General features: G+C 36.9%; 1 protein-coding gene, 1 long non-coding RNA gene and 1 pseudogene across 3 annotated transcripts in view; 1 reads left to right on the top strand and 2 right to left on the bottom strand.

Moving 5' to 3' along the window:
* Positions 1-19,452, top strand: part of LOC105373277 (uncharacterized) — a 52,164-nt gene that overhangs the window by 29,162 nt on the left and 3,550 nt on the right. For both annotated transcript variants that reach the window (XR_002958498.2, XR_001738575.2), the window contains exon 2: positions 8,310-8,392. This is a non-coding gene — a long non-coding RNA (uncharacterized LOC105373277). The remainder of the gene's footprint in view (positions 1-8,309; positions 8,393-19,452) is intronic.
* On the bottom strand, positions 8,963-9,312 carry OR2AS2P (olfactory receptor family 2 subfamily AS member 2 pseudogene; annotated as a pseudogene).
* Positions 16,510-19,034, bottom strand: OR2T5 (olfactory receptor family 2 subfamily T member 5). The gene has a single exon (NM_001004697.2). The coding sequence runs from the start codon at positions 19,032-19,034 to the stop codon at positions 18,087-18,089; it is 948 nt and encodes a 315-aa protein (NP_001004697.1). The 3' UTR covers positions 16,510-18,086.

Raw genomic sequence — 19,452 nt, 5'->3', positions numbered from 1 at the left:
GACATTGGTGTTAGGGTAATGCATGAAAAAATGTGTTGGAAAGTGCACCCTTTTTAATTGTTTGGAAAAGTTTGAGAATAGCATTAATCTGTCTTTAGATATTTGGTAGCAATCACCAGTAAAAGCATCAAGTCCTGAACTTTTAAGTTTATTATTATTATTATTGGTGATTTAATCTCTGTACTAGTTATTAATTTGTTCAGGTTTATTCTTTCTTCAGGACATACATGTCTAAGAATTTATCCATTTCTTCTACGTTACTCAATTTATTGACATAATTGGTCATGATAATCTCTTATGACCCTTTGTATTTTGGTAGTATTGACTAATTTCTCCTGCTTTACTTATAGTTTTATTTGAGTCATCTCTCTTAGTTTTCTTGGTTTGTCTACCTAAAGGTTTGCCAATTTTCCTCACGTTTTTACAGAACCAACTCCTCGTGTTACTGATCTTTTCTTTTGTCTTTCTTATCTGTTTAATTCTGCTCTAACCTTTATAACTTTCTTCTTTCTTCTAACTTTTGGCTTTTTTCTTCTTTTCTAATTCCCAGAGTGCCAAGTTAGGTTGCTTATTTGGGATCATTTCTCTCTCTGTCTCAGTAGCTATCAGAACTACTTTTGCTGTACCCCATGATTTGGTATGTTATTTGTCCATTTTTGTTTGTCTCAGGATATTTTTAAATTGTCTTTATTTTTGGGTCCATTTGTTGTTTATGAGTGTTGAGAGTGGGGTATTATAATCCCCTACTATTATCATATTGCTGTTTATTTCTTTTTTGTGTTCTGCTCATGTCTGCTCCATCCATTTTGGTGTTCCAATGTTTCCTGGGCCTATATTGAGGCACCCTAACTAATAACACTTTGCACATCAATTCATCTCATTTCTCACAAAAGCAAACAGAACAAAACTGTTCAAACATACATAAGGGAGTCCTAGTTGCTGATACAAACTTTTAGATAGTCTTCCAATCTTTTTATCCTACTTTAATTCTCCAATGATATAATAAACATCCAAGACAAAAAAAATGAAAAAAGCACAAATGATTCCTTCACTGAAATCAGGAGACAAAGGCAATCCATCAACTATAAATTACATGTAAGGAAGGGGAAGAAAGTCACGGACACTCATCAGAATTGGTACAGAAACTCCATATTGGAAGCAGGAAGTCCGGCAGAGAAGAGACCCAGTCAAGGTCACTGGTGGTGGTAATGATAAAAAATACCAGGAAATATTATTCCCCAAGAAGGAGAGGGTCCTCTCACAAGTGTAAACTGCTATACCCAAGCCTGATGAACACGGAGCCAGGTAGCAATCTGAGGATTATTGAAGAGATAGATGCAGGGAGTATACCTGGGAAAGAAGTGGTGGAGATAACAGGACAATCTTGCCTAAACTAAGGGGGTCACCATCCCAGGCATAACCACGAATAGGAAGGTGGTAGAAATGAACATGGAGAAGACAGCAGGAATGCATACAATGAAGCTGTAGGGCTTGAGAAACAAGAATATTCCCCAATGCCTGCAAGCCCTATGCAATCCACCTGGTAACAACTGGAAAGGCAAATCAAATTCTTAAAAATGAAATTAGAAAATGCAACGTCTTTCCAAAAATACTATAGAAAAAAAATAAATCTACCCCAAAATTATTGCCTTAAATCGGAGCTAAATACTGATATAAACTTCAAATACTCTACAACCCCAAATCCTTAATAAAGCAGTTTTATAAATGAGAAAACATTTTAAAACAGAAATATGACGGTTCAGAGAACTGATGACCCACTAAAAAGAGACGACAATCGGCCAACAGAAAGATGTGAAATGGGAATCACCCTGAGTCAGGAGAGAATTTAAAGGGAGTGATGGGGACGAAGCTGAATGGCTGCTCCGTGGCTTGTGAGTGATTGTAAAATAATAAAGATGATGGAGAAAATATAAAAGCAAGTGTAAAGAAATAGTGATAAGCACTAGTGTAAACATATTGGCTACAATTGAATGATGAAGGAAAGGAGAATAGACATATCTTCTGAAATATTTTCTGTTCTTCCTTATGCTAGGAAACTAGTAGATACTGTGTAAAGAGAGGGAAATTAAGGATATTTTAGTCTTATAAAATATGTTTTATGCATAGGTATTTGTACATAATATACACATTTTGTTAAATAGAAAATATTAAATACCACACAATGAAATAATTTTGAAATAAAGGCAAAGAGTTGATTTTGTCTTCTTACTGCAAAGAATTATAAGTATGTGAGGTGATGCATATGTTAATTACCTCAATTTACCCATTCCACACAATATACATATTTTAAAATATCACATTGTACATGATAAATATATACAATTTTATTTGTTCATCACAAAAATTTAAAAATGGCAATTAAAATAAAGGTAATAACAAAGTGTGAGGGAATATGATTAAACTAATGGGGTATATCAATAAACACAATGCATTTAATACACTGAATAAAGAAAAAAAGATTACTATTCTCTCTGCCTGGTGGTCTCTTTTCCGATACGTTGTGACCCATTTCTTCAACTGATTTAGGTCTCTCTTCTCTGCTCTCTTGATTATCAGAGAAGACATCTCTGAGCAGTGAATATAAAACAGTAATTATCTCCTACACACCCTATTTTACTCTTCTTTATAATGTTTATCATTCCTGATAGTTTTTTTGCGATTATTATCTCTTCTCTACCATAGAATGTAAGATCCAGGAGATAAAGCATTTTACCATTTTTATCACTAGTGTCTTTCCAATGCCTAAAATATAGCACCTATTCCAAAACAGACGCTCAAAAATAAATGTTTCTTGAGTCAATGCATTTATTCATTTTTGAGGAGGAGAGATTGGGTTAAACAAGAGGGTTAAAAACTCAGAATAGAATGACAACCAAACGAGAGCATAGTCAGTATTAATACAGAAAATATTTACAAGACCTACTTGAAAGAAGATATAGTTGTAACACATTTTCCATGATTGTTGAGAAATTTATATTTCTGGGTACATTAACTTCTTAGGCAACTAGAGCTTACTTGTTTAATTCTTTAAGCTTAATAAATTTTAAAGTATGGAGTACAATATGCCAAGTGAAACAAGTCAGGCACAGAAAGAAAAATGCAGCATGAGCTCATTTATGTGTAAAATAAATGGAAATTGAGTAAGATAAATAGGGAGTTGAAGGGCAGTTGCCAGAGTCAGGGAAGTAGACAAATTGGGATAATGTAGGTAAAAGAAGACAAAATTACAGTTATGTAACATAAAGATATTTAGAGATCTAATGTACAACAGAAGGACTATAGTTCTATTTTATTATACATTACAAATTTGCTAAGAGAATAACTAGATTATATGTGTTTTTATCACAAAAAAGTAAACTGCAGACAGTGATGGATGTGTTAATTTGCTAGCATGTGGTAATTATTTCACTATAGATATCTACATCAAAACATGTTGTACATCTTGAGTTTATACAATAAAAAAAAAATACTCGATTTAATGACCAATCTGGACTTATTTATTTTAATGTTTATTTAAAATATTTCATGCTGTCTGTGGCCTGGTATTTGGGAGAAAGGGGGATAAAATACTTCAATCAATCATGTCAACACAATTTTTGATGAGAAATTGAAAACTGAATTGTTCAAATTGTTCCAGTTCTCAAGAGGAATGCTTCCAGATTTTACTTGTTTAGTATGATGGTGGCTGTGGGTGTGTCATAGATGGCTCTTATTTTTTTGAGATAAGTTCATTTGGTGCCCAGTATATTGAGGGTTTTTAAGAAGAAAGGATGCTGAATGTTATGAAAAATCATTTTGCTTCTATTGAGATGATCATGTGATTTTTGTATTTAATTATGTTTATGTGGTGAATCACATTTACTGATTTGCACTTGTTGAACCAACCTTGCATCCCAGAAATAAAGCCTACTTGATCGTGGTGAATTCACTTTTTGATGTGCTGCTGGATTTGGTTTGCTGGTATTTCGTGGAGGATTGTGTGTCTATATTCCTCAGGAATGTTGGCCCGAACTTTACTTTTTTTTGTCGTATTTGTGCCTAATTTTGGTATCAGAATGATGCTGGCTTCACAGAATGACTTAGAGAGTATTCCCTTCTCAATTTTTAAAATAATTTCAGAAGATTTTGTACCAACTCTTATTTATATGTCTGGTAGGAGTTGGTTGTTAATCCGTCTGGTCCAGGGCTTGTTTTGGTTGGTAGGTTTTTTTTAATCACTGACTTAATTTCAGAACCCATTATTGGTCTGTTCAGGATTTCAATTTCTTCCTGGCTTAATGTCAGGAGGTTAAATAATCTTGGGTGGAGAAATAGATAAATTCCTTGTTTCGAGGGATTTATATATTTCTTCTAGGTTTTCTAGTTTGTCTGCAGAGAGGTGTTCATAATAGTCCCTTAGGGTTTTTTGTACTTCTATGTAGTTGGTTGTATTTCAACTTTGTCATTCCTGAATTTATTAAGCATATGAAAATAATAAACTATAAAGGAATAAAGAAAATAGATTTAGAAGAAAAGAAAGTGTTCAAGGAAATTAAAAAGCATATTGAATCATAATTTTATACTTTAAATTGTTTTATCTGTGAATATAACATTTTATCATATACTATACATGAAGATAAACAGATACTTCGTGCAGTTGGTAACCGAAAGATAGCCAGAGTGGCTATGTTAATGTGAGACAAAGTGAGTTTATGACAAAAATTTTTATAAGTAAAAAAAAAATCGTATACTGTTTGGGATCATTTGTGTATCTTCCTTGGAGAATGTAATATAGATCTTTAGATATAAAAATTGTAAACATGAATGAATGTAACAGAGACCCAAAATATATGAAGCCAAGGTGGACAGAATTAAAGGAAGAAATAAACAGTTCTGTACTTATAGTTCAATACTTAAATGTCCATTTTCAATAATGCATAGTGCACTTAGACAGAATGTTAATATAGTAGTAAGTGACTAGAACAGCACTATAAACCAAATGACCTAATATATATGTGGAGAATACTGAAATAGCAGAGTATAGATGCTTCTCAAGTACTAATAACACATTCTCCAGGATAAATTGCCAAAAACAAATAAGACTAAATTTTAAAAGATTTAATTCAAAGTATCTTTTCCAATCAATGAAATAAAACTGGAAATCTGAAATAGAGGGAGAACTACAAAAGTTACACATATGTGGGGATTAAACACCACACTGTGAAGCACCGGTGGGTCAAAAAAGAAATTGGAAATGAAGTTAGAAAATATATTCAGATGACTTAAAACATAACAAAACATATAGGATGCAGCTAAAGCAACTCTTAGAAGGAAAATTTTAGCTAGATTGCCTATACTCAAAAAAAGAAGAAACATCTAAAAACAATAATATATTTTTACACCTTAAGGAACTAGAAAAAGAAGAGCAGACTCAATACAAAGCAAACAGAAGGAAAAAAAAGTATTGGAATAGAGATTAATAAAATGCAGAATAGAAAAAACAATTTGACTATTTCGAGCTTTCAAAAGATCAACAAAATATAGAAAACTTTAGGTAAACTTACCAAAGAGAGAAAGAGAGAAGTCTTACATCATGAATACATAAATATGAATATAACATGGGTACATAACAACTAGCCTTTCAGAAACACAAGCAATTATAAGAGAATATTACAAATAATTGAATACTAACTAGATACCTTCAGTGAGATGAAAACCAAATCCTGGAAACACAGAAACTACCAACACTTACTCAAGAAGAAACTTAAAGTAGTGTTAAACAACACACTGAAAATTACAAAGCACTGCTAATAGCAAATAAAACATAAACTGATGAAACAACATCGCATGTTAATGGATTGGGAGACTTGTGGTTAAGATAATACAACCAAAATATATCCACAGGTTCAATACAATGCCTATAAAAATTCCATGCCTTTTTTTTTTTTTTGCAAGAGTAGAAAACACTAAAAATCATATGAAATTACGAGCGACTGCAAAATCCAAAACAACCTTGAATAGAAAAACAAAGTTGGAAGATTTACACTTCCTGAGTACAAAATTTGCCAAAAAGATACACTAATTTTAAAAGCCTGATAACAGAATAAGGATATATGCATAAATAAATAGAAGACAATTGAGAATCTAATGAGAAATACACGCATGTGTCTATGGTCAATAATCATCTGACAAGTGTGCCACGTCCATTCAATGGGAAAAGAATACTCACTTTAACAAATTGTGCTCAGACAAGAAGATATCCACAAACAAAAGAATGAAGTGGCATTACAAATCATACTTAAACTCAAATTGATCAGGGACCTAAACATAAGAAGTAAAATTATAAAAATATGAGAAAAGATGAAGTTAAATATTCAAGACCTTAAGTTTAGCATTTTTTTTAGCATGATACCGAAAGAACGAGCAATAAGAAAATAAATAATTGGACCTCATCTAACTTCAAAATTTTTGTGCTTCAAAGGTCTCAATCAAAAAAGTGAAAAGAGAGGAGAGTGGGAAAGCTGGCAGAACGGAATTCTTTAACAATTGTATCCCCATAGAAACATCAATTTTAATAACTATTCTTACACTACATACCTTCACAAAAGCTAGTAAAGCCATGTGAGAGATCATTGTACCTAGTTATACTATTTTCTTCTTGTGATAAAATAATAAACATTGAAGAGGGCAGGAAGGAGAGTTCTGATTACCTGCATTTCTTATCCCCAACCTCAGACAGCACAGTGCAGGGAGAGATACCAAACACTTGGGGAATAAAAAGGGAAGTAAGTGTGGGACTTGGTCTTGGTGCCCAACACTAGGCCCACTACAGAAAAACTGAAAACCAGGCAGCCCCCACAACCACTGACTCCAGGCCAGTACACAAAGACCGAGCCTCCAGATCTACACCAACACTAGGCAGAAACCATGCAAAGCAGAATTAATTTGCAGTCATCATCACTGCCACCCACCCAGAGTGGCCTTAAGCTCTGGAAAGTATCCACTGGCAGGCAGGCCTCAGTGAACATGGGCTTCAGACTTGCATCAGTGCTGCACCAGCCCCAGTGGCCACAGGATATCATCTGGGACCCACACCAGTTCCAGTGGCCATGGGATTACAGCACTGCACTGCACCAGTCGTGGCAGTCCCAGGCTTAGGGCACCACCTAGGGCTGCCCCCACCACAGCAAACTAGAGCTTAGGGACCACACCAGACAACCTGCTCAGAATCTCTAGACAGGCTTACTATTGAAGAATGTTTCAGGATAAAACAAGTCTGCAAAGACTGGAATAAGTACCTATTATATTAGATGCATGACTGCAGACGCAAGAGAAATCAAGGAAGCATACATCACCAAGCAAACAAATGGAGATGCATAAACTACCTGACAAAGCATTTGAAATAACAGTCTTAGGGAAGCTCAGCAAACTTCAAGAAAATACACAGAAACTATTCAAACAAACGATAAAAATAATATGACCACAATGATAAACTTAGCAAATATTGGAATAACTTAAAAATCAAACAAATTCTAAAGCTGCAAAATATAATGAACAAAATGTAAACTGCAGTTGAGACCATCAACAGCAGAATGGATCAAGCCAATGAATCTGTGAACTCAAATACAGGTTATATGAAAATAGAGAAGAGAAAAGAATGAAAAATAATAAAGGAAACATGAGATTTACTGGACAGCAACAAAACAGCAAATTTTTGAGTCATTGGAGATAAGGGAGTTGAAATGATAAAGGAGTAGAAAGCTTATATGAAGAAATAATAGAAAACTTTTCAAACCTGGAAAAAGATATAAATAACCAGGTACAGTGAGGTAAAAAGTAACCAATCAGATTCAATCCAAACAAAACTACCCCTAAGACATATTATAATCAAACCACCAAAAATTGAAGGGAAGCTTCTCTGTATTGGTGGAAGGTAGGTAGGGCTTTTCTAGCCCCTACTTCCACTCTATCCCCTGAGTTCCACCTGCACTGACTCGAGGAAGAGTAAGCATCTAGAGCTAGTGAGAATGGGAGGAACTTACAAAGTCAAGAGAGAAGCCTATTGTTCCTTGCTCACCCACAGATTACGTACTATTACTCAAGGCTTGCTGTATTTATTATAGAAGAGAAAATCTTCTTGTATTATATATCAGCTGAGTTATTGCTTATCTGAGAATCACCAGAAGTTTCCACCCGAGACAGGATAAGAGAATAGAGCCAACATGTTGGGATTTCCAGAGCAATCAAGAGAAAAGAAAATCTATTGTGTTATTATTGCCCCTGAGAAATCACACTTTTGTCTTTCCTAGGAAGCTGATGCTTACAACAATGGAGATTAGCAATACCTGGACAGAGTTGAGCTTCAAAGGATACTGAGAAATGGCTAAAGCAGGTAAAAAGAGAGAAGACTGGAACTTTGTCTATGCTTATCATCTAGCTTCAAGGAGAAACACAGTTGAGTTCAGCCATTTTGAAACAATGGTTAGAAACTAGATAAAAAGTTCTTAAGCTTTTCATTATTTATTTATTTATTTATTTTTGAGACAGAGTCTTGCTCTGTGTCCCAGGCTGCAGTGCAGTGGTGAGATCTCTGCTCACTGCAACCTCCGCCTCCCGGGCTCAAGTGATTCTCCCACATCAGCCTCCCAAGTAGCTGGGGTTGCAGGTACCTACCACCGTGCCTGGCTAAGTTTTCTATTTTTAGTAGAGAAAGGGCTTCACGATGTTGGCCAGGCTGGTTTCAAACTCCTGACCTTAAATGATCTGCCAGCCTAGGCCTCTCAAAGTGCTGGGATTACAGGCATGAGCCCCCGCACCCAGCCCTTAAGCTTTTTATGAGCAAATTAATATTTCAAATTAAATTGAACCAAATGGTTTTCTCATACGATGGAGCAACATTCCTCATGCTGGAAAATGAGATGCTCCTGAAGTCTTTGCATCTTGGCCCTCTACCGTTGTTTTCCACATTGATATTTATGTGTTCTGTTTAGAGACTTGATGTGTTCCCAGAACTTTCTGAAGAGCCCCACCACATCCTTGTTTCTCAGGATGTAGATGAGGGGGTTTAGCATGGGGGTGAGTACAGTGCAAAATACAGACACAGCTTGTTTCTGCTCAGGGATGTGGGAGAAACCCTGTGTCACGTATATTAAACACACAGTTCCTAAGTAAAGACCACGGAAAGATGGGAGGAGCAGTTGGCCAAAGCTTTGTTCCTACTTTAGGGGGATTTCATATGGAGGACTGTAAGGAAGATGAGGTATGAGAGGCCACAAGTCCAAGATGAAATGGATAAGAAGTAGAGAGCCACAGGCCAAGATCAAATGGGTAAAAAGTAGAGAGCCTGCATTTGAACCAGGTAGTCTGACTCAGGGTCCACACATCATCTCAATCATGGATGACTACCACAGACAGCTTGTTCCTTTCTCATCCCCATATTCTGGCTTCTCTCTTGCCATGTACACCTCCCCTTAGTCTCCATACCTGGGGCCACCTGCCCCCACAATCCTGTTCCCATAATATCTCACCTTGAATGAAGAGCTAAGCCAGGAAGGAAGCATCTGAAATAGTGTTGAAGAAAAGCTGAAGTGAGTGGAGAAGGACATCACTTTGTGTCCTTTATTTCTGTTGGCCAATGCCTGTCTCCCGGTCTAGACCCTACCACCTACAGGTGAGGCCTCAAGCACAGCTCATCTCTGCACTGTCTCCATGTAGAACCAATGTCCCTGCTCAGATTAGATATATGAAATCCCCTAGTTGTAGATGTGGGGGCCTATGGAAATGAACCTCTCATAAACTGCTGAAGGGTACAAATTAACACAGCTTGAGAGAAATGGCCTGGAGTGAGCTTCACTTCACACTAGGCCAGGACCACATTATTACTCCCAACAAAATAGTTTGTTTATAATCCTTTTCGTGGACTCCAGAAGAGGAAGATGGCAGATAGGAGGCAGGACTAACTTGCAGCTCCCACTTGGATGGACAGAGCAGCATGTGGAGATTCACGCTGTGAACTTTTGCTCCAAGAACTACCATAGGACATACCAGGAAAGCCAAGAGAATCCAAAGACCCTTTGAAGGAGGTGGCGGCCACTGTAGGCTCCGTGCCAAAGACTGAGTGCCAAAATGTGTGAAAGTGTAAAAGGGGGATGCTCCACCCCCAAGCACAGATCCTCACTGGGGAACCTGACGGTCCACATGGTGGGAAAAGGATTTAATCTTACGCGGAGCTAAGAGGAATTTAGAGAGCCAAGCAAAATATTCGAGTAGAGGAAACAACAAGAAGAGCCCTGTGGGAAACCATTTCGGACTTTGTCTTGCAGGGGTCCTTTGGGAGGGCTGCCAGTGGAATTGGGGAAAGACTACAAGGAGAAGCAAGCTTTCAGATGAATTTTGTAATAATCTTGACTAACGTGAAGCTTCCTGGACAGAACCTGGGGGAGGGGGCAAACTGGGAGTGCAGATACAAGCTCAGAAGCTGAGGCAGGCAGAGAGGCATGAAACCTAAAAGCCCTGCTTGCTTTCTTCATGAGGGGCTTGTAGCCTGGGGCAAGTTCTCAGCCCTGCTCACCAGCTGCCTGGAAAAAACTCAGTGCTACTGGGGGCACAAGGTGGGAGTGAGACTGGCCTTTTGGGCTGCCTGGGAGCTGAGTGAAGCATGTAACTGCCCGTTCCCCCCCTTCTCTGGTGACCTGCATGACCCAGCAGAGGCACTCATAATCCCCGTGGAAACATAACTCCATCAGTCTGAGGACCACACCCCAATCCCACACAGCAGCCACACAGCAAGCCCCGCCCAAGGAGAGTCTCAGCTCAGACACGCCTAACACTGCCCCCACCTCTTGGCCTTTCTCTACCCACCCTGGGAGCCAAAGACAAAGGACATAATCTCATGGGAGCTCTGAGGCCCGGCCCATTGCCTGAGAAATCTGGATACTTATCCAGGTAACCCTAAGGCAAGCTCGTATCTTCCCTACACTACTGCAGCTGATGCAACTCTTGAAAGAATCAACTGCTGGCTGGAGACCAACCAGCAAACTTATCAAAAATACAGCCAAGGACCCTCACAGAGTCCACTTCACTCCCCTGCTCCCTCCACCACAGCATGTGCTGGTATCCATGGCTGAGAGACCTGAAGACAGATCATACCACAAGACTCTTTGCAGACACTCTCCGGTACCAGCCAGTACCAGAGCACAGTAGCTTCGCTGGGTGGTTAGATGTGGAAGAGAAATAACAATCTCTGCACTTTGTTTCTCAGGAACCCCCATCCCTAGAAGAAGGGGTAGAGCACCACATCAAGGGAGCACCCCATGGGACAAAAGAATCTCAACAGCAGCCCTTTAGCCCCAGAACTTCCCTCTCACATAGTCTACCCAAATGAGAAAAATCCAGGAAAACCATTCTGAAAATATGACAAAACAAGGTTTTCTGACACCCCCAAAGATCACACTAGCTCACCAGCAATGGATTCAAACAAAGGAGAAATTTCTGAATTGCCAGAAAAAGAATTAAGAAGGTCAATTATTAAGCTACTCAACAAAGTACCAGAGAAAGGTGAATACCAACTTAAATTTAAAAATGTGTTACAGGACATGAATGGAAAAATCTCCGGAGAAACAGATAGCATAAATAAAAAACAATCACAACTGCTGGAAATCAAGAACACACTAGAAAAATGCAAAATACACTGGAAAATCTCAGAAATAGAATCAAACAAGTAGAAGAAACAAGTTCAGAGCTTGAAGACAAGGCTATTGAACTAACCGAATCCAGCAAAGACAATTAAAAAACACACCTTTAACTGTGTTTTCTTATACTTCGGGCTTTTTGTAGGTTAATGACTTTTCTTAATTCCTAAGTACCATCTGAGTAATTAGTCACATGGTTATAAAGAATATCAAATGTCAGACTAAATTCTTTTCAAGCTTCCCTCAGCAGCTTAAAGTTGAAACTTTTTCATTCCTTCTTCTATAATCTTGGGTATTTGAAATGGGTATTCTCCCACTTGAACATAGGCAAAATCTAATTTCTTGTCTCTACCCTATGGAATCTCGTTTAGTAATTATTTCTAAACTTATCCTGATGCCATGCATCGTTGGTTTGTTATAAGTATATCTAAAGGAGTACACAACATTTACTAAAGAAACACATTCCCCGTGTGATGTGTCCTGATAAGAAAAATGACCTCCAAATTTACATTCCTGTACAGGTATGATGATTTCACTCTACCATACTTTATTTTATACCCATCTATTGTTTCTTCCAGAAATATACATAACTGGAGTCATAGCCAAAACTTGTATTGCCTGGGCCTATTTGAGCATAAACAGCAGGTATTAGACCTAAATAGGGGGTCTTCTGCCAACTTGGGTGTGTTAGGAAACATGAACAATATTCAAAATGGCCTGCAGGACTCCAGTTTCAAAGTGAAAGATACCATGTCCATCCAAGACATTGCAGTTTGCCTTTCCCTGATGATTAGTGATGTTGAGCACTTTGTCATATACGTGCTAGCCATTTGTATGTCTTCTTTTGAAATATGTTTTTTGATGTCTTTTGCCCATTTTTTAAATCAAATTATTTGTGGGATAATTTTGGTACTCAGTTACTTGAGTTCTTTATATATTCTGGATATGAACCCCTTGTCAAATGCATTGTTGGCAAATCTTTTCTCCCACTCGTATGTTATCTATTCACTCTGTGAATTGTTTTCGTTATTGTGAAGAACCTTTCAGTATGATGTAATCTCATTTTTTAATTTTTTAATTTTTCCCTGTGATTTTGAGGTTCTACTTTAAAAATTCTTGCCCAGATCAATGTAGTGATGATGCATTCTGCCTGTGTTTTCTACCAGAAGTTTTACAGTTTAAGATCTGATATTAAAGTCTTTAATCCAATTTGAGTTTAAAATAGTGAAATAAGTGTCTAGTTTCATTCTGTATTTGGATATGCATTTTTTGCATCACCATTTATTGAGGAAGTAGTGCTTTTCTTGGTGTATGTTCTTTTCAACTTGGTCAAACATCAGTTGACTATAAATGAGTGAATTTATATCTGGACTCTCAGGGGTTCTCTTCTGTTTGTGTGTCTGCTTTTATGCCAGTACCATTCTCTTTTGATGTTTAATAGCTTGTAGTATATCGGGTAGTATGATGCCTACATATTCATTCATTTTGCTCAGAATTGCATTGGCTATTTGGAGTCTTTTTTGCTTCCATATGAACTTTAGGATTGTTTTTTTCTATCTCTGAAGAATATCTTTTGTATTCGGATAGTGATTGCCTTAATTCTGTAGCTCTCTTTTGGTAGATGGACATTTTAATGATATCAATTCTTCTAATCCACGAACATGGGGAATCTTTCCATTTATTTGTGATCTCTTCAATTTCTTTCATTAGAGTTGTATAGTTTTTCTTGAAGAGATCTTTTACTTTGGCTAAATTTATTCCTAGTTATTTTGTATTTACTTTAGTTTTTGTAAATGGGATTGCCTTATTTCTCTTTCAGATTGCTCACTGTTGGCATATATAAATGCTAATTTTGTATGTTGATTTTGTATCTTGCAAATTTACTGAATTCATTTATCAGTTCTCACAGTTTTTGCTGGTGTCATTAGGATTTTTTTAATATATGACCATGTCATCTGTAAACAGGGAAAATTTCAGTTCCTTCTTTCCAATTTGGAGGCCTTTGTTTCCTTCTTTTACCTAATTGCTCTAAGACCAGACACAGCTTCTCTTTTTTCTCTCCTGAATTCATGGGAATTCAGGATGTTATTGTTTTTGAATAGTTTCCAGTTCTATTTTTGTGGGTGTGGATGAATGATGCTGGAGGATCTTCTATTCATCTATCTTGTTGCTATAACTCCTCTCTATGAGTCTTTCTTAACTTTTTAAAGATACAGTTTGCTGTTAGAGTATAGAAACTCCAATTTCTGTCTGTTGATTTCCTGAAACTTTCCTGAATTTGTTAGGGAATAGTTTTTGTTGAAGGCTTTATGTTTTTTTATATGTAATATTACTTTATTAACAAACAGAAACATGTCACTTCTTCCTTTCCTATTTACATTTCTATTTATTTTTCTTCCCTAATTGCTTTAGCTGGGACTTTCAGTGCTATGTTACATAAAAGTGGCAAGAGTGACCGTTCTGGTCTTTTGCTGGATCTTAGAGAAAAAGCTTTCAACATTTCATCATTAAGTATTATGTCAGCTGTAGGCTTATCATATATGGCCTTTGTTATGGTGAGATACATTCCTTGTATACCTAATTTGTTGAGAGTTTTGGAATTTTGTCAAATGCTTCTCTCCACCTAAATAATCATAAAATTGTATCATTCATTCTGTTACTGTGCTATGTGATGTTTATTAATTGGCATCTGTTGAAGCATCCTTGCATCCCTGGGATGAATCCCATTTTATCATGATGAATGCTTTTTGAAATGTGCTTTTAAATTCAGTTTTCTAGCATTTTTTGAGGAATTTTACATCCATGTTCCCAAATGATATTGACCTGTAGTTCCTTTTTCATTCCCATGTCCTTCTCTGGCTTTGGTATTAGGATAATTCTGGCCTTGTATAATGAATTTGAAAGTATTCCCACTTCTTCAATTTTTTGGAAGTGTTTGAGAATAATTGGTATTAGTTCTTTAAATTTTTGATAGAATTTTGCAATGAGTCCATATTGTCCTGGGCTTTTTTTTTTTTTTTTCTGGTGGGAGACTTTTATTACTACTTCACTGCATTATTCATTATTGGTTTGCTAAGATTTACTATCGTAGGATTTATGTATCAGTCAATTCATGTCTTCCAGCTTATCTAATTTTTGACATGCAATTATTCATTATACTTTCATAATCTTTTGTATTTCTGTGGCCTCAGTTGTAATATATCCTTTGTAAATTTCTGATTTGAACCTTCTTAGTCTAGTTTATTTTGTTTTTTCACAAAACAACTCATCTGATGTTTTGCATTGTTTTTATCATTTTTTTATTTCTCCTCTAATCAATATTAATGTATCTACTAATTTTGAGTTTAGCTTATTCTTGTTTTTCTAGTTAATTAAGGTACAATATTACCTTTCCTTATTTGAAGTCTTTCTTCTTTATTGATGTAGCCATTCATTGCTATAAACTATAAACTTCCTCTTTGAACTGCTTTTGCTGTGTCCTGTAGGTTTTGGTATGTTGAGTTTTCCATTTTTATTTGTCTCAAACAACCTTTTATTTTCCCTTTTAATTTTTTCATTGACCCATCTATTGTTTAGGAGCATATTATTTAATCACCATTTATTTGTAAACTTTCTGAGAATTCTTGCATTCGTTTATAAACTGCTGTGATCAGAAAAGATGATTGATATTATTTTGAACTTCTTATCTTTAAGACTTTTTTGTGGTCAAACATGTGATCTAACCTAGAAAATGTTTCATGTGCAATCGAGTATAATGTGTATTCTGCAGCTACTGAATAAAATGTTTTGCATATGCTTTTTAGGTCCATTGCCCTAGAGTGCAACTTGAAGCTGTTATTTCATTGTTTACCTCCTGTCTGGATAGTCTTTCCATGGCTGAAAGAGGGGTGTTGAAGTTTCTTAGTATTATTTTATTGCTATCTATCCCCTTAGATCTATTAATACTTTATGTATTTAGGTTAATGTTTCATACATAGTCACAATTATTATATACTTTTTGTTGAATTGACTTTTTAATCATTATATATGATCTTCTTTGTCTCTTTCTACAGTTCTGGACTTCAGTCTATTTTATCTGATATAAGCATAGCTACTCCTGCTCTTTTCTGGTTACGACTTGCATGGGATATCCTTTTCAACCACTTCACTTCGTCTGCATATGTCCTTGCAGGTTAAAGTAACCTGTTGTAGTTGGCATTTTTTATACATTCTGCCACCAGATATCTTTTGATTGGATAATTTAATACATTTACATTTAAGATAATTTTTGATACATAGGGACTTAATGCTACAATTTTGTTAGTTTTCCAGTTGTTTTCTAGAGACTTTGTTCTTTTCTTCCATTCTTACTATCTTCTTTTACGGTTAAATGATGTTTTTTCTAGTGGTATGCATTGATTCCTTGTTTTTTAAAAATTTTTGTATGTCTACTACAGGTTTTTGCTTTGTAGTTACCACGAGACTTACCAACATATTATAACAGGTTATTTTAGGCAGCTAACAATTTTTAGCACAATAAAGCTCTACAAAAATCATTTTTCATGAAATTTTGCTACATTTCCTTTCACAAGGATGTTTTAAAGATAACCATCAAATGTGTCTATAATTATAATCCAGCAAATTGAGAGTTGACAAATGCTCTTTAATTCATACAAAGTTAGAGTATGCATTTTATATTGTCTGAGTTCAGGAAAAATATTAAAAACTAGTTCTCTCATATTTTTCCAAAGCACTACAGAATCTTTATATTATAGTCATAAAATAATTGAGTGTGGTGAGAGAAAAGAAGAATGTGTACTGTTGAAAACACCTGATTATTCGCAAGTTGTACATAGCCAATTAGGAAGTTATAGCATGCAGCTACCACATGTATGCTTTTAGGTAACAGGTTCAGCAGGCCCCACCTCAAATGCCCTCCTATCAGCCTATTCTCGGGTAAAGGCATGGTCGACTCCACTTAGATCAACATCATTTAGATTACCATTCTCATGTACCTGGTCTCTATGTTTTTGGTCTTGCACATCTCCAATTGATCACCACACAAATAACATTTCTAAAATACAAATCTGATCATTTCACTATTGTTTGTAAAACCCTGGGCCACACAAGGGCAAGAAATAAGCCTAACATGAAATAAGAAAGATCTACTGGGCATTGATCTCTCTCGCTTGCTCAGCCCTGTCTTTGCTCATGCTGTGCCTTTTCCCTTGCAGCGTGTCTCAGCAAGTTCCCCTGGCTCCAACATCACACACTCATCTGAGGGTAACTTTTCGTCACTATTCAGCACTGAGCCCCGGAGTCTCCTCTCAGCTCCTTGTTTGAACTCAGATGTCACAGATAGAATTAGTGTGTCCTTATGAGCTGCACCCTTCACACGAGTATCAAAACAGCTTATTTATTTTCTTACATTTGTTTGCATAAACAACTACATGTATTTTTCAAACTCCTTGGTAAAAGCCATGTGCTATTCAAAATTTAATCTTATTTAACTATTTTTAATTATAAAATAGTACAAAATGCTTGTTAAATAAATGAAGGATTGAATGTTGATGCCATCCCTCTGCTTGTTTGTATAACAAGTTACATGTTTGAAATCTCAGCTCAGGAATCACCCTGGGCAGGTAACCTTCCTTAAAACTCCTTCCACTCAGGTGTCATATTTTTTCTGCAGTCACTTATGTGGTCCTACATCCTCAATACACCACATGGCAGTAATTATTTCGGAGAGATAAATCCACTAGACGCCATCAGAATTGGACCATGCAGAAAAATGTAGCCCTCAATAAAGAAGGGGCGATGACTGGATTTTCTTGGTAATGATTAGATATAATGAAATGAGCATGATTTCTAAGATGTCACACTGCCACCAAGCAGAAAGGAGAATATTTTCAAAAAGGGAGAAAAGCCTGGTATTTAATTATTTGTAAATGATTTCAACTTCACAAAAATCATTAAAAAACAATAGTACAATTAATACCTATATACCCTTTACCCATACTCATGTGTGGCAGCAACATTGAACTCAGTTTGTTTCATTGCCCCTCTCTATCTCCCTCCCTCTTTCCCTCTCATCATTTGAACACCTCATGACCTTTTTGTCTCTAAATATTAAGTATTTCCTGAGGTTAAGAATATTTTTTCACAAAATTAGAGAACAGTTATCAACTTCCAAAAATGTTACATTAGTATAACACAATTGTAAAAGAATTTTGGATGGACAAAGACTATAAAATAGAGTTTCCACACAGTGAAAGAATTCCTCAAAATGAGATGAATATGAGATGAGGCATCATTGTATGAGAGTCTAAGGAATAACAGGGATAAAATCCTAAGTATCTGATGGGTAGAGAAAAGGAAAATAAATCTTTATATCCAAATTTCCTACTTTATAATTTCCTAAAGGACGAATCTCACAGTTAACATTTTCTTCAGAGCCCCCATGACATCCTTATTCCTAAGACTATAGATTAAAGGGTTCAGCACCGGAGTGAGGATGGTATAGAAGACAGATACCATCATGTCCTTCTCAGGGGTGTGGTAGGAGCTGGGGAGCATGTAGGTGTAGACGGCAGCCCCATAGAAGAGGATGACCACAGTCAGGTGGGAGGAGCAGGTGGCAAAGGCCTTTTTCCGGCCCTCTGCTGAGTTCATCCTGTGGACGGTGAGGAGGATGAGTAAATAGGAGCTTGAAATGATCGTCACAGGGATGAGGAGCATGAGGACACAGCATAGGTACATGAGGGTCTCATAGAGTGAGGTGTCTGAGCAGGACAGGATCGTTACAGCAGGGACTTCACAGAAGAAATGATGAATCTCCCAGGATCTGCAGAAGGGGAAGCTCATGGTGATGGGAGTGAGCATGAAGCCATCCACTGAGCCCAGGAACCAGCAGCCCGATGCCAGGAAAAGACAGACCCTATGGTTCATGAGGACAGGGTAACGGAGAGGATGGCAGATGGCCACGTAGCGGTCATAGGCCATGGTGGCTAGAAGGAAAAATTCCGAACCTGCTAGTGTCAGATAGAGGAACATCTGCATCCCACACTCAGGGGCTGAGACCTTATTCACACCCATGACCTGGTCCAGGAGCATCTTGGGCACAGTGACAGAAATGTACGCCATGTCCATGAGAGACAATTGACTGATGAAAAAGTACATGGGGCTGTGGAGGTGGGCGTCACAGTGTATCAGAAGGATCAGGACAGCATTTCCAGACAACGCCTTCAGGAAAACCACAAAGATGACCACACTAAGTAGAGCTGGATGTTTGGATCGTCTGAAGAGTCCCATGAGGATGAAATCCAACTTTCCAGTGTGGTTGGCCATCCTGGTGATGTTGGCCATGAGGTTTCACCTAGGCCACCAAGGAGAGTTTTGGAGTCAGTGTAACGCGTCCCTTTGTAATGAGTGTTTCGTGAGTACTCACATTTGTGTATGCTCATTGTGCTAACCTGAGTCCCGTGGGTCTGGGGATTTGAGTATATAAATGACATATAACAAATTCACAAAACAAACTAAGAATTCACAACTATAGGCCAGAAGAATTGGTAACTGATAGTAAGGTTGTCACGGTTCAAATTCATAAACTTTCCTGATGATAATGCCATTTATCAACAAGTACTGAAAATTTGCAGAACCTCCCTCCTCTGCTAACACAAACAGTGACTCATTGAAAGAAAGATAAAGCAAACTCCTTATTGTAGAGTTTTTGTCATAGACAGCTGAATTGAATCAACATCGCTGGTTTAAGAAACAATAGGCA

Source organism: Homo sapiens, chromosome 1 (genome assembly GCF_000001405.40).
Source record: "Homo sapiens chromosome 1, GRCh38.p14 Primary Assembly".
Taxonomy (NCBI): domain Eukaryota; kingdom Metazoa; phylum Chordata; class Mammalia; order Primates; family Hominidae; genus Homo; species Homo sapiens.
This window is presented reverse-complemented; position numbering and strand designations above follow the sequence as displayed.

Excerpts from the sequence above, each read along its gene's own strand:
- OR2T5 (NM_001004697.2), bottom strand. The coding sequence starts at position 19,034 with ATGGCCAACATCACCAGGATGGCCAACCACACTGGAAAGTTGGATTTC.